At 44.3% G+C, this 15,062-nt stretch overlaps 1 protein-coding gene and 1 pseudogene across 35 annotated transcripts in view, besides 4 other annotated features; one reads left to right on the top strand and one right to left on the bottom strand.

Annotated features, from left to right (window-relative positions):
- Nucleotides 1-15,062, bottom strand: part of ATG7 (autophagy related 7) — a 303,957-nt gene that overhangs the window by 279,355 nt on the left and 9,540 nt on the right. For 7 of the 35 annotated variants that reach the window (NM_001349232.2, NM_001349235.2, XM_047447296.1 and 4 more), the window contains one exon: nucleotides 14,561-14,806. The exons of 25 other annotated variants lie outside the window; for them this stretch is intronic. The gene's annotated coding sequence lies outside the window, so the exon portion shown is untranslated. Of the gene's footprint in view, nucleotides 1-8,258; nucleotides 8,354-14,560; nucleotides 14,830-15,062 lie in introns of those variants that run through there. 3 more of the 35 variants (NM_001349234.2, XM_017005542.2, XM_047447298.1) reach the window with 2 other exon arrangements.
- Nucleotides 5,588-5,717: an enhancer, noted in NCBI's record as "active region_19429". NCBI's record gives its function as "activates an Ori minimal core promoter by ATAC-STARR-seq in GM12878 lymphoblastoid cells {active_cell/tissue: GM12878}" and the evidence as "EXISTENCE:reporter gene assay evidence [ECO:0000049][PMID:35858748]".
- RPL13AP27 (ribosomal protein L13a pseudogene 27) lies at nucleotides 6,336-6,593 on the top strand (annotated as a pseudogene).
- Nucleotides 6,913-6,962: a silencer, noted in NCBI's record as "silent region_14061". NCBI's record gives its function as "represses an Ori minimal core promoter by ATAC-STARR-seq in GM12878 lymphoblastoid cells {active_cell/tissue: GM12878}" and the evidence as "EXISTENCE:reporter gene assay evidence [ECO:0000049][PMID:35858748]".
- Nucleotides 7,222-8,421: an enhancer, noted in NCBI's record as "BRD4-independent group 4 enhancer chr3:11330264-11331463 (GRCh37/hg19 assembly coordinates)". NCBI's record gives its function as "activates an origin of replication core promoter dependent on BRD2, P300/CBP, MED14 and CDK7 cofactors, and independent of BRD4, by STARR-seq in HCT116 cells {active_cell/tissue: HCT116}" and the evidence as "EXISTENCE:reporter gene assay evidence [ECO:0000049][PMID:35650434]".
- Nucleotides 10,240-10,372: a silencer, noted in NCBI's record as "fragment chr3:11328313-11328445 (GRCh37/hg19 assembly coordinates)". NCBI's record gives its function as "represses an EF-1alpha promoter that drives an FKBP-Casp9 reporter gene in an ReSE screen in phorbol 12-myristate 13-acetate-treated (for megakaryocytic differentiation) K562 erythroleukemia cells {active_cell/tissue: K562(+PMA)}" and the evidence as "EXISTENCE:reporter gene assay evidence [ECO:0000049][PMID:32094911]".

The following is a 15,062-nucleotide window of genomic DNA, read 5'->3' as shown; positions in this document are numbered from 1 at the left end:
AAAGCTTTCAGTTTTCCAAACTTGTTGGATTTAGAATTAGAGATAAGGAGCTTTGGATTGATAGAAACTGTATAATGAAATACAAAGTTAGTGCTCCTACATAAAAGGTATTCAAATCAAGAAGAATGGGATGAATGTGGGGCAGAGCCCTGGGAAAGACACCGTGAAGCAGATGGGCACTGAGTGATGTTGAAAAGGATGGGTAAGGGGTGGGGGAAGATGGGTGGAGGGCAGAAGGAACAAGAAGAGCAGAGGAATACTCATGGCAGAAATAGGGACACGTGAAACCAGCTGTCCTCATGTGGAGGGTTTGTGCTGTGCAGGAGCAGCACACACAGAGCTGAGCAGGTGACATGGGTGAACACCTATGGAGAAGCCTCAAATGTGAGGCTAACGAATTTTGGAGGAGGAAGCCAGTGGCAGTCCTGCATGGTAAATATGATTCCGCAGTGGGTAAAGGGCTTTGAAAGAGGCAGGCAGGGAAATCAGCTAAAAGCCCAAAAATTTATGAAGACCTGGATTAGAGCAGAGGAGTAAAAGTGAAAAGGAGGGGACCCTCGTTGGGGCTGATTTAAAATAAAAGGTGACCTAACTTGGTATCTTGGTGGACTCAAGCAATGAAAAGAGAGAATAAAGCTCTTGGGGTGTCAAGCCACAAATGGCTAGGAGAATGGCAGCTTGAGTGAAAGAGAAGACCCTTGAGAGGCAAAGCAAGTTTCAGAAGAGTAATAATGAAAGACATTTTCAGCTGTGGACAACAGCAGGGCAAAGATAAGCCAAGAAAACTGGACATGGATACTGAGAGAACAGCTAACACAGGTGACAATGATCAGTTCTTAGAAGTTACTCAGAGAAAGAAAAAGCCCCACAAAGTCCTAGAGAATGTCCGCAGTTAGGGAGTAAAAAGAAATAGAACCAGTAGGCCAGGCGCGGTGGCTCATGCCTGTAATCCCAGCACTTTGGGAGGCCAAGGCGGGTGGATCACCTGAGGTCAGGAGTTTGAGACCAGCCTGACCAAAATGGTGAAACCCCGTCTCTACCAAAAATACAAAATTAGCTGGGTGTGGTGGCACATGCCTGTAATCCCAGCTACTTGGGAGGCTGAGGCAGGAGAACTGCAGGAGACAGAGGTTGCAGTGAACCGAGATTGTGCCATTGCACTCCAGCCTGGGCAACAAGAGCGAAACTCCATCTCAAAAAAAAAAAAAAAGAAAGAAAGAAAGAAAAGAAAGAAAGAAATAGAACCAGTAAAACAAAGAAAGCTGTAGTTGGAACACCAGGACAGTACATATATCTACCAACTCTAAGCAGTAAAAAAACTTTGAGAAGAGTAATGATGAATGGACACTAGGAATCAAAGAAAATGACTGGTCATTTAAACATTGTATTTAATGTTTAAAAGGAGTGCGGTGGTGGCTTTCTAAAATGCAATTTCATTGTAGATTGCTTAAAAGAGAACAGGCTATAAAAGGCAGAATCACCAGAGGGGAGTAACTGACTGTGTCCGTAGCAAGTTCCAGTGGGGCAGGTTAGTCTGCCACTGGATTCCTAATGGGTGGTTTGTTGTTGTTTTTCAACAGGCTGAATATGCTTTCCACATTTAAAAAGATGTTTTGGCAACAGAAATCCAATTTTGAATGAATGAAAGACTCACAACAAGGTCTTAAAAAAACTGAAAAGCAAACAGAAGGAATGAGGTGGGAATTATAATAATTATTTTTCTATATAATTGATAAGCTTCATTGATCACAAAAGACAACACATCACTGTCCCTAAAATTCCCCACTGCCTCAGTGTGGCTTGCAGCATCACATCCCCAGATAGCGCCTGACCAAGCGTTTTCCAACATTCACCATCTTGAGCACATATTTATTTATTTTTTTCTCTGAGACAGAGTCTTGCTCTGTTGCCGAGGCTGGAGTGCAGTGCCACAGTCTCGGCTCACTGCAACCTCCACCTCCTTGGTTCAAGCAATTCTCCTGCCTAAGCCTCCTGAGTAGCTGGGACTACAGGTGTGCACCACCATGCCCGGCTAATTTTTGTTTTTTAGGAGAGATGTGGTTTCACTATGTTGGCCAGGCTGGTCTCGAACTCCTGACCATGTGATCTGCCCACCCAGGCCTCCTAAAGTGCTGAGATTACAAGTGTGAGCCACTGCTCCCGGCCTTTGAGCACTTATTAAAAAATGAGGATGCCTGGGTCTCACTCCCACTTCCTGTGGAGGAAAGAAGATTCGATAAGAGAAGGGATAGTGATGGAGGCCAGGAGTCTGGAGTTTGCCTAGTGCCTCAGGTGATGCTGCTGTAGGTTTGGTGCTATTTTGAAGCCTAGGTCACTGGCACTTATTTTTGGAGGCCCCACCTCAAAATCACCTCAAATGTATTTGAATGCACCCTCAACTCCTATTAAATATTTTTTGGCTTTTAATTGTTTGAAAGAATTTTTATAATTTTGCCCAATGGAAAACAGGTGATTTGGCCAGGCTCAGTGGCTCACGCCTGTAATCCTAGTACTTTGGGAGGCCAAAGCGGGGGATCGCCTGAGGTTAGGAGTTCAGGACCAGCCTAGCCAATATGGTGAAACCCCCATCTCTACTAAAAATAAAAAAAAATTAGCCGGGTGTAGTGGAGTGCACCTGTAATCCCAGCTACTTGGGAGGCTGAGGCACGAGAATCTCTTGAACCTGGGAGGCGGAGGTTGCAGTTGCACTCCAGCCTGGGCAACAAGAGCAAAACTCCATTTCAAAAAAAAATAAAATAAAATAAAAAGAAAACAGGTGATTTGAGGATTTGAGGCACACGTGTAGAAACACTCTCACAGCCTCCTGTTGTTTCCTGGGCCTCTAATCTCTCCCTTTCCCTCTTTTCCTCTACAATGCAGCTAGCGTTTTCTTCTACTGTTGGTTTTTGAAGGCTTCCATGCTCAGCCCTCTCCTCAGTCATTCATTTTCTTTCTTTCTTTTTCTTTTTTTTTTTTTTTTTGAGACGGAGTCCTGCTCTGTCGCCCAGGCTGGAGTGCAATGGTGCAATTTCAGCTCACAGCAACCTCGGCCTCCCAGGTTCAAGCGATTCTCCTGCCTCAGCCTCCCAAGTAGCTGGGACTACAGGTGTGTGTCACCATGCCCGGCTAATGTTTTTTTTTTTCTCTCGATACGGAGTCTTGCTCTGTTGCCCAGGCTGGAGTGCAGTGGCATGATCTCGGCTCACTGAAACCTCTGCCTCCTGGGTTCACGTGATTCTCCTGCCTCAGACTCCCAAGTAGCTGGGATTACAGGCGTGAGCCACCATGCCTGGCCCTAATGTTTTGTATTTTTTAGTAGAGACAGGTTTCGCTACATTGGTCAGGCTAGTCTCAAACTCCTGACCTCAAGTGATCCGCCTGCCTTGATGTACCAAAGTGCTGGGATTACAGATGTGAGCCACCCCGCCCGGCCAGTCATTCACTTTCTTTCTTTTTTTTTTTTTTTTTGAGACAGAGTCTCATTCTGTCATCCAGGCTGGAGTGTAGTGGCACGATCTCGGCTCACTTCAACTTTCACCTCCCGGGTTCAAGTGATTCTCCTGCCTCAGCCTCTTGAGTAGCTGGGATTACAGGCATGCACCACCGCACCCGGCTAATTTTTTATATTTTTGGGAGAGATGGGGTTTCACCATGTTAGACAGGCTGGTCTCAAACTCCTGACCTCAAGCAATCTGCTCGCCTTGGCCTCCTAAAGTGCTGGGATTACAGGCGTGAGCCACCACACCCGGCCAAATCATTCACTTTCTACAACAAGTTCTGTCTGTATGCCAATGAATCTCAGGACTGTACTTCTAGCTCTAACCTCTAAACATATATTTAAGTGTCCTTTAAAGCCAGGACTTAGATTCCTCAGAATCTCAAATTCAACAAATCCAAAATTCAACATATATTTTCCCTAAATTCTGCCCCTTTCTCTGTATTTCCTAGTTTGCTTAATAGTATCACCTTAATTCAAGGAAGAAATTTCAAAGTCATCTTCAATTTTTCTCTCTCTCAACGCAATAAAGCACTAATTCCTAGAAGCTCAACCTTAAACAGTCCTCTGGAATGAGATGAAGGTTAACAGTTACTGAACACAGACCAAAACTAGGCACAGCAGCAAGGGTTGTTCAATTGAATTCAATTCTCTCAGAAGCCCTAAGGAATAGCTCCAATTTTATAGAGGAAGAAACTGAGGTTCCAAGAAGTAAGAAATTCACACAAGGAGGCTGGGTGTGGTGTGAATTCAATTCTCTCAGAAGCCCTAAGGAATAGCTCCAATTTTATAGAGGAAGAAACTGAGGTTCCAAGAAGTAAGAAATTCACACAAGGAGGCTGGGTGTGGTGGGAATTCAATTCTCTCAGAAGCCCTAAGGAATAGCTCCAATTTTATAGAGGAAGAAACTGAGGTTCCAAGAAGTAAGAAATTCACACAAGGAGGCTGGGTGTGGTGGCTCACGCCTGTAATCCTAGCACTTTGGGAGGCCAAGGCGGGCAGATCACCTGAGGTCAAGAGCTCGAGACCAGCCTGACAAACATGGTGAAACCCCATCTCTACTAAAAATACAAAAATTACCCAGGTGTGGTGGTGCACGCCTGTAATCCCAGCTATTTGGGAGGCTGACGCAGGAGAATTGTTTGAACCCAGGAGGCGGAGGTTGCAGTGAGCCAAGATGGAGATCGTGCCACTGCACTCCAGCCTGGGCAACAGAGCGAGACTCTGTCTCCAAAAAAAAAAAAAAAAGAAAGAAAGAAAGAAAAAAATAAATTCACACAAGGCTATACAGCTAGGAAAGTAGGGGAACCAGGATTCAGCTTCCAGATTCACGCCACTCTGAAGCCCATGCTCCTCATGCAACTTCATGCTTCCTGTCTAGGTCTGCCTGCCTTCTCTCCATTCCCACTGCTACGTGCCAGGCTCCATCATCTCACACCTCGGCTCTTGCAGTGATATACTCACGGGTCACTGCCTTTGGCCCATCTCCTCCAAACAAGGTGACAAACTGCCACCAGGAATGATCTGCACAGGTGGCTCCCTTGTTTAAACAAACAAACGAAAGCTTACTGGCCTTACTACACAGAGAATAAGGTGCTGCAGCCTTAGCCTGCTAGTTTCCTGATCTTCTGCATGGCTGATGTTCCTAGGAAACCTTTCCCCTCTCTACCAGGAAAAGTACTTCTCATCTCACAAGGTCCTTATGAAGCTGTCAGTAACAGTCAGTGGATATTAACAGTTCCCTTCTCAATGGTGACAGATGAACACTTCCATTAGGGCATTTACCACCATGAACTGTGCTTGCTGTTTTGATAATACTGTTAAAAACTATTTAAATAACAGCAGTAGTAATGTCATATTAGTAACTGTTCTTATTAAATGCTCATTCTGTACCAAGCACTACACTAAACAGTTTACATGTTATTCCCTTGACAACCCCAGTGGTAAGATTATGCCTACTTTACTGAAGAGAAAACTGAGACACTGGGAGCTTAAGTAACTTGCCCAGAGTCACACAGGAAGTGGTAGAGCTGAGATGATAACCCGGGTCTGCTAGCTTCAAAGCCCCTGTTCTCGTCACTATATTACACTGCCTTGAAGGAAGAAACTTCTTTTCAGGAACTTTCTACTGCCCATCAGCCTCACACATGCTAAAAAATAACCAATTATTCACAAGCTAACCTCCTCTCCAACAGTCAAAACAAAAAGGCCCTGGCCAGAGCTATCATCCAATGTGGAAGGAAATCAACACAGTTGCAGACAGTGGTACAAAAGGATTTCATCTAAAATCCTCTGTGTGACAGATCATCAAGTCCCTACATATGTCAGTCATCCACAACTTTCTCTTCAAGGACAAATGTAACTTGTTTTCATCATAATTTTGATGACCTGCTAAGGACATCAAGATGGAATTTTACCAGTGCCAGAGAATCACAAAGACAAAAAAGAAAACTCTATTCTACAGCACTTCGGTAGCTGGGTAAAAGCGACTAAGGATGACTACTTAAAAGATAACAGACATGGCCGGGTGAAGTGACTCACGCCTGTAATCCCAGCACTTTGGAGGCTGAGGTGGGTGGATCACTTGGTAAGGAGGTCAAGACCAGCCTGACCAACATGGCGAAACCCCGTCTCCACTAAAAATACAAAAATTAGCCGGGCATGGTGGTGCATGCCTATAATCCCAGCTACTCAGGAGGCTGAGGCAGGAGAACTGCTTGAACCCGGGAGGCAGAGGTTGCAGTGAGCTGAGATCGCACCATTGCACTCCAGCCTGGGCGACAAGGGTGAAACTCTATCTCAAAAAAAAAGAAGATAACAGACATTTTGTATATTAATTGCAGATAGTGGTTCCTGGTGCCTTCAAGGTTGTGCGTCTGAAGCCTAAAATAAAGTCTGCCTACCTGGGGGTGGCTGGTTCATGAGGTTGGCTGGAAGTACCAGGCAGTGACAGCTACCTGGAGGAGAAGAGGAAGGAGAAGGCCAAGATCCACTACCAAAAGTAAAAACAGGCCATGAGGCTGCAGAAACAGGTGGAAGAGAACGTGGAGAAGAAAACTGATAAATACAGAGTTCCTCAAGACCATGGGCTCCTGGTCTGAGCCCAGTAAAGACAGCTTATTCCTCATGCTTGGCCTGGCCTGCCCCTCCTCCATCACCGCGCTGGGATGTGGGGGACCCAGGCGGCAGTCCAGGTGCTGAATGAAGGCAGCCTAGGACTTAGAAAGATGGGAAAGAGGAAAGGGCCTTAGTCACTGCCTTTCTATAAAGTTATTTGAAACAATTCTAGGAGTTGTGCAGACATAATTTGCTTATGACCTACTTGTTCATGAGAGAGTTTTTAAGAACAACTAGTTACTTCTGTTTCAATATTAGCAAAAGTGAGCTGGAACACTAATTGGAGGGGAGCCCTACCCTGTGAATCAGGCATCTATTTCCTACCCGGTCTATACTATAGACTGCAGCTACCAGGATGTGAGAAAACACATGGGGACAATATGAGTTTGCTGTTGTACAAACGTTATTTATAGAAGCATAGACTGGGAAGATGTGCGACCAAAGGGGTTCCAGGTATTGCCCTTATTCCTTCCCTGTACTTTGTAAACAGAACAAATAAACTACTTTTACAGAGAGAGAAAAAAAAGGCCCAGTGCAGTGGTCCATGCCCATAATCCTAACTCTTTGGGAGGCTGAGGCAGGAGGATCGCTTGAGCCCAGGAGTTTGAGACGAGCCTGGGCAACATGGTGAGACCCCATTTCTACAAAAAAAGTTTTAAAATTTGCCGGGCATTGCAGGGCGCATCGGTAGTCCCAACAACTCGGGAAGCTGAGGTAGGAAGATAGCTCGAGCCCACCAGGAGGTTGAGGCTGCAGTGATCCATGATTGCACAAAAGTAATTTGCATAAGAGGCACATCCTTCAAATATTTTCTGACTTATTTGGCCTTAGGGAAATTCTGAACAGAATCCAAGGGCCTATTTCATAAGAGGATATAGTTGATGTTGAGCTGCTGAAACCGTTCCATGACAGGCTGAAAACAGAAAAGTCTTAAGCAACATCAGCATGATGAGGAATCTTCTGGAAATACCTAAACAGGACAATCTATGGTAAAGGTATCACTTAGGAACATACACGTCTATGTAACATCACTACAGCGCTTAAGCTGGAAGGGAAGATTTAAGAAGTAATGGTCGGAGGGGAATTTGGGGGGAAGTGAGTCATAGACAGAGTTATTCATGTGTCACTAATCTAAATCCAAACATTACCTACTTCCTGAAAAAGTAAGGCTTGCCTGTATAACCCTGGACAGTGCAAGTGAAACTTCGGCCTCTGCTTAGCTTAGAAAGATAAAGGATTGTTTCTATCACACTTCAACATTATATTCAGACACAGTCAAGGAAAGAAATTAACATAGGCATCAATGTAAGTGTGTTTCAATTTTATTTCAAACTATTTCAGGATGTGAAACATCCTGAGTTACACAAGATGGGATTGTGTCACTGCCAATTAAACAGGAAAGGTTTTGATAGGGATTCAACACTGTAATGAGCAAGAACTCTAGTGGTGTAAGAAAGCCTGCAGTAGCCAAGAAGTTCAGTCAAGATTAAACTGAAATAGCAGCGTGTGTGGTTAACCAATACAATCCCCCGGGGCTGTGTCTACCACCCAAACTTGGTGCAAATTTCAGACTTTAATGAAAATAAAACTCAGTCACACTCAGCACAAGTAGGAGCTCAGAAAATGTCACTGAATGAGTACTTACCAAAAGTTTCTGTCCACATGGATCTAAATCTTTTGTTTTTTAAGATCAAATCCCCACAGGAAATGTGCAGTGGCGGTTGCCTCCCAAGAAAGCTGCTAGGAGGTGAGGAGAGAGGAGTGTGGGGAGACTTATTTTCACTGCATGACCTTTTTTGCCTCTTAAAGTTTGTATTATGTATATAAAACAATACAGAAATAACTAAAATAATTAAAGAAAAAAGTCCTAACCCAATGGCAAGAAGACAAAGAGAGAGATAAAAGACTAGCAGCTCAACTGCTTTGGTTCCAAGAAATCATAGCTGGGAGATCCTTGAAACAAGCACCATGTCTTACTCATCTTTCTTCAGGACTGAGCACAGTGCCTGGATCATATTAAGAGCTCAGTAAAGGTTGAAATGAAATAATAGCTCTCTTTTCGCACAAAGGGCCAATGGATGGATGCTATATAGTAAGATAAATTTCAGCAGTTTAAAAATTACTAATAGCTTGAATTGTCCAAACAGGAAATAGATCAGAGAGATAATGAGTTCTCCATTAGCAGAAGTGTTCAAGCATATATTGGATGATTATTTGCCACGTAATACTGCACAAAGGATTGCTGTATCAGGCAGTCAGACAAGACCAGGGTCTGGCAAGCTTTTCCTGAAGAAGGCCAGATAGTAAATATTTTAAGGCACTGCAGGCCTCAAACAGTCTGCTGTGTATTTTATTTTTTTTACAACCCTTAAAAAAATGCAAAAACCATTCTTAGCTCCTGGACTGCACAAAAAAAGGCCTCGGGCAGGACTTGATCCACAGGCTATAGTTTGCTGACTCCTGGACTAAATGATCTTCCAAACCTGTTATCTTTTGATTCTTTGAAGGTGCCAATAGTATATTTTGTTTTGAGGAAGACTGATATTTTTGGCATAATCTTTTTAAAGGGCAGTAAAGATCAGTGAGGGCGCTGAGGGCGAAGGCCAGATTCTAAGGCCACATCTGCTGGCCTGCAATAGGCACCTTGTAATGCTGCAAATACTTCTTTATGAACTGGTAAATACAGTCTACTCAAAACATTCACACATCTCTCAGCATCATTAAGCCAAGACGAAGCTCATTTGATATTTATTAAGGCTCATAACGTTCCGGAAAGACTGCATCAGCAGCATTCTACATCTTAAGCAGGCATATGACTACACCTCTGATGGTTTCCTTATGCTTTCTCCCAGACCGCCGCTGCTGCCTTCCGACTTTTCTAGTTCTACCCCACGGCCCTGTCACTCCTCACCTCTGACTTGATGCTCCTTAGCAGCCGCTCTCAGGCCCCCATGGCCTAGAACTCACAGCCCCTCTGTCTGAAAAGTGTTCCCTGTTCTCCCTCACCTTGCTTCTGTGACTGCCTGGCATTCACAGAGCAGCTCAGAGGTGACCTGCTCAGGAAAGCCTTCTCAGAGGTGCCTCGCCTGTCTTCACTCCCCTCATACTCCTCCCCTGGCAGCTATATTTAATCACTCCTGGCTCTAAGCCACCTAGACATTTGGTATTGTTTTTCAACTCTTTGCTTACCTGTTTGCCTCCACCAAACTTGATTGTAAACTCTACAAATACAGATCCTGGCTCATATTCCTTTCAATGTCCCTAATCCCTTGTGAGTGGCTCTCAAACATTACTAGGATGAATTTTAGAAACCTTTTATCAGCCAGGCACAGTGGCTCACACCTGCATCCCAGCACTTCGGAAGGCTGAGGCAGGAGGACTGCTTGGGGGCAGGAGTTCATGACCAGCCTGGGCAACATAGCAGAACACCATTTCTAGAAAAAATTAATTTAAAAATAAAATAATAATAATAATAAAAAAAGGTTGGGTGCGGTGGCTCACACCTGCAATCCCAGCACTTTGGGGGTCTGAGGCGGGAGGATAGCTTGAGCTCAGGAGTTTGAGACCAGCCTGGGCAACATGGGCAACATTCCGTCTCTACCAAAAATATTTAAAAAGTTAGCTGGGCATGGCGGTGGCATGCGCCTGTGTTCCCAGCTACTTGGGAGACTCAGGTGGAGGATCGCTTAAGCCTGGGAGATTAAGGCTGCAGTAAGCCAAGGTGGCAAGATGGCACCACTGCACTCCAGCCCAGGTGATCGAGCCAGACCCTGTCTCAAAAAAAAAAAAAAAAAAAAAAAAAGAAAGAAAGAAAGAAAAGAAAAGACAAAAAAAAAAACACAAAACAAAAACAAGGAACTTTCTATAGATATCCTCCCGAAAAGAAACAAAAGCAAGAAATAACCCAAACTTCTATGACTATGAGAACAAACCCCAGAAGCCAATTACCACAGAATATGGAGTAAGGAATCATGAAGAACATACGACGATATGCCATATAACTTAGGTCCCTAAACCTATTATTGTTTTTTCAGGACTAAGACCTTAGCGGGCAGGAAACATGCATGCACAAATCAGTGCAAATAAAACCTTATGCAACTGCATATGAAAGTAGTCAAGAATAAATGTTTCTTTCTGAAAGCATTCTGGTAGCTACTAGTGACAATATCTGGTCATTAATATAGCATTTTAATGAAGAGATTAAAGTTAACACCAGCAGCAACGTGACAAACAGACACTGTGTGCTATCTGATAGAATGCCATGGAAAGAACACAGCATCTGTGGTGTTTGGATGAAAATACACAACCTGGATCTCATGGGAGGAAACATCAGATAAACCCAAGTTGAAAAACATTCTACAAAATGACCAGGATTATAGTCTTCAGAAGTGCCATGGTCTTAAAAGTCAAAGGGAGACAAGGAGCTGTCCCAGACTGAAAGAGACCACAAAGACGTGACAGCTGGGGACCACGTGTGATCCTGGGATGATGCTCCACTATAAAAGGACATTATTGGGACAAAAACTGAATGGGAGTCTCTGGGAGATGGATAAATAGAAGGTATCTGTCTTATTCTTGTAGAATTTCTGTAAGTTTGAAACTGTTCCAAAATAAAATAGTAAGAATAATTTTATCTTACTATTAAGATAAAAGCTGTGTGTCACACACAGCTTTATACGTTGTTCAACAGGCAAAACCAATCAACCTGACAGAAGTTAGAATGGTGATTACAGGGTGAGGTGGAGCTACTGACTTGAGAAGGCCACGAGGAAGGCTCCTGGGGAGATGGAAATATTCTGTATCTTGAGCTGGGTGGTGGTTACAAGGCATATACCTATGTAAAAAGCCACAAGCTAAACATTTGCTATCAGTGCACTTTATGTATGTTATCCATGAATAAAGAAGTAAAATAGGGCTGGGTGCAGTGGCTCACACCTGTAATCCCCACACTTTGGGAGGCTGAAGGAGGACTGCTTGAGCCCAGGAGTTCAAGACCAGCCTGGGCAACACGGTGGGCCCCCATCTCTACAAAAAATAAAAAAAAATTGCCAGGCACCTGTAGTCCCAGCTACTTGGGAGGCTGAGGTGGGAGGTGGGAGGATCACTTGAACCCAGGAGGTCGAGTCTGCAGTGAGCCGTGATTGTGCCACTGAACTCCAGCCTGCGTGACAGGGTGAGAATCTGTCACAGGAAGGAATTTAAAAAAAAAAAAAAGGCCGGGCTTTTAAAAAAAAAAAAAAAAAAAAGGTGGCTCACACCTGTAATCCTAGCACTCTGGGAGGCCGAGGTGGGCAAATCATGAGGTCAGGAGATCAAGACCATCCTGGCTAACACGGTGAAACCCCGTCTCTACTGAAAATACAAAAAAAAAATTAGCTGGGCATGGTGGCGGGCGCCTATAGTCCCAACTACTTGGGAGGCTGAGGCAGGAGAATGGCGTGAACCCGGGAGGCGGAGCTTGCAGTGAGCCAAGATTGCGCACCTGCACTCCAGCCTGGGCGACAGAGCAAGACTCCGTCTCAAAAAAAAAAAAAAAGGCCAGGCACAGTGGCTCACACTTGTAATCCTAGCACTTTGGGAGGCCAAAGCAGGATGATCACTTGAGCCCAGACAAGACCACTCTAGGCAACATAGTAAGATATCATCTCCACAAATAATTTTAAAAAATTATTATGGAGTGGTGGTGCACGCCTGTGGTCCCGACTACTCAGGAGGCTGAGACAGGAGGATCGCCTGAGCCCAGGCAATCCAAGCTGCAGTGAGCCATGACTGCACCACTGTATTCCAGCCTGGGCAACAGAGCAAGACCCCGTCTCAAAAAATAAAATAAAATAAAAAAGTAGAACAAAACCCCTATCTTTAAACCATACCAGTCCTACGAAGAGAACCTTCATTTATTCATCCAACAGTTAACAGATGACCTACTTAAATTTAGCTTTGGTAAAAAGCAATTCATTACTCTAAATAAGTAGCCTAAATGAGAAATCATTTCCATAAAGTTTTCTGGCATTTTGTGACTAAAGAAGCTAAGGATGGAATTATTTTGGCTTGGCTGCTTATAGAATTAATTGAAGCAGGAGTGCTTCCTGGAGTGAGACCGCCCAACCATTCTCCCTCTAGGATTGGACACAGCAAATAATCAAGCCAGTATAGGATTTTTTAAAATGAAGAAGTGTAGGATATTTTTTAATGAAGAAATACAGGATTTTTTAAATGAAGAAGTAATTCACTTTAAAGTGAAGAAGTAATTGTAGAAAATAAAAAACAGAGGGAGAGAAAAAAACAAAAACAAAAAGAACCTGTCTTTAGGGGAAGCTAGACACACAGGCCTCTAGTTTCCATAAACCAGCCTGACAATGCTAAAAATTATCACACTCTGATTTTTCTGTGTGTTTTAGTTTTTTGTCTGTTTGCTTTAGGAGAGCAGGGGAGTTTTTTTGGTTTGTTTTTCTTTGAGACAGAGTCTCGTTCTGTCGTCCAGGCTGGAGTGCAATGGCGTGATCTCGGCTCACTGCAACCTCCGTCTACCGGGTTCAAGCGATTCTCCTGCCTTGGCCTCCCACATAGCTGGGATTACAGGCATGCGCCACCATGCCCAGCTAATATTTGTATTTTTAGTAGGGTTTTGCTTTGTTGGCCAGGCTGGTCTCAAACTCCTGACCCCAGGTGATCCACCTGCCTTGGCCTCCCAAAGTGCTAGGATTACTAGGCGTGAGCCACCATGTCCACCACAAGCAGGAGAGTTTTTAATGGTTCAGGGAAAGGATGCTAAAAGGAGAGGTAATGTAATGCAGTCAGGAATCAGGTCTTTATACAGATGAACCCGAGTGTGGATTCCACCTCCACCTCCTATTGGCTGAGAAGCCTAGGGCAGGTTAGGGCAGGTTCCTTCACCCCCCTGCACCTGGATTTACTCAGGTGTAAGATAAGGACAGGTATAACTACTCTAGAACTTGCTGGGAGGGCTAAATGTTTGTGAGGTGCTTGCTACAGTGCCTGGCATACAGCAAGCAGTCAATAAATGGTAGCTGCTGGTAGTTTTTCTTGTCACTGCCCCATATTAGCCAACAATGCCTGACTAATGTGGTTCCCCTTCCCCATGCTCACTATGAAAATTTCCTCTGCCTAAAACATGCCTCATTTAAAGCCTACCTCCCTCAAAAGAGCTCTGCAAGCACAACAGAGGCTTAATTAAAAGGAAATGGTCAGTCTCCCACTACAGGTCATCGAGAAGTCCAAAAGAACAAGTTCTAAAGGGCAGCGAGCACTCAGTGTCCGATTTCTCTGAGCCCATGTGGGGCCATTCACTTAGCAGAAGTGCCAGAATAACTGCAATTTGGCCCTGAAGTGCCTTCTCTGGGCCAAAATGGAGCACACAGAGCAGGCTTCTATTCTCATTTTCCCAGCTGCAGGGCTGCAAGCTCTGGCAGTCATTAAAATAAGCACCAAACCACATGACCAAGTCCCGCTGACAAACAGCATATGTTCTTAGCTGCTGATGTGTAAAAAGGAGGTAGAGATCACCAGGAGTCGGGAGGGGGCTGCTTTGGCATATGGAGCCAATGCACATTTTATAGACAAATGATGCTTCTGCAACCTCATGAGTTTCAGAAACAATCTGCAAGGCTGTTAAAGAGGGAGGTTTAAAGCCTTCTCTTCCAAAAGAAGGGAAAAAGTTCTAAACTTAGAAGAAAGAGTAGGCTCTACCGGAAGATGAGAACTCAGGACTCCTACAGGGAAACCAGCTGGGTACAGAAACCTCACTTCCTTTTAAAAGTTGCATTAGAGTCAAGATGTCCCTGAGCAAAACTAACATCTCCACAAGACATCAAATCATCAAGTCAGCCAAATTGGTTTGTGACTGTGCTTTCAGGTGATTTCTGTGGTAACAGCTGATCACACTGGCAGTTAGGAAAATTGCTATGATGGGTGAGTTGTCCTCCTCACCTCCAAGCCAACTCTGAATCAACATGATTTCTTCTTCAGTGTGTCAACCAGGGAACAAGCAGTCACATCCACAGTCTTCAAACTCTTATCTGTCCTTCTCATTGGTTACTTCCAGGAGCTGTTTTTCTTTTATTTTGGTTTCCTTCTGCTATAATATCCTTCACCTTCACATGCAATCTGGTGTCCATCAGCTTCAGTTTTTGAGAACGGATGCACTGGATACCAGCATTATGGGGTTTGAGAAGCCTACATGGGAGGGACAGTGACAGCTGAGAAAATGTGGGAAAGAGGAGAGAGGAAGCAATAATGCCAGGAAGATGGAGGGCAGTGTGCCTCCTTCTGAGTCCTTTTGTTACCTCCACTGATCAACAGTGTTGCCCATTTCTCTGTTCATCTGAGAGACACCCACCTGGATTTGTCTAAATCACTGTGGAGCCCTATGCCAACCAACAACTAAAATCTATGATGGTTTCCTAAAAGCTGGCTGAGTTATGAAGGCTTG

This window comes from Homo sapiens, chromosome 3 (assembly GCF_000001405.40).
Source record: "Homo sapiens chromosome 3, GRCh38.p14 Primary Assembly".
Lineage (NCBI taxonomy): Eukaryota > Metazoa > Chordata > Mammalia > Primates > Hominidae > Homo > Homo sapiens.
The sequence above is the reverse complement of the archived record's forward strand: the minus strand, read 5'-3'. Positions and strand labels throughout refer to the sequence as shown.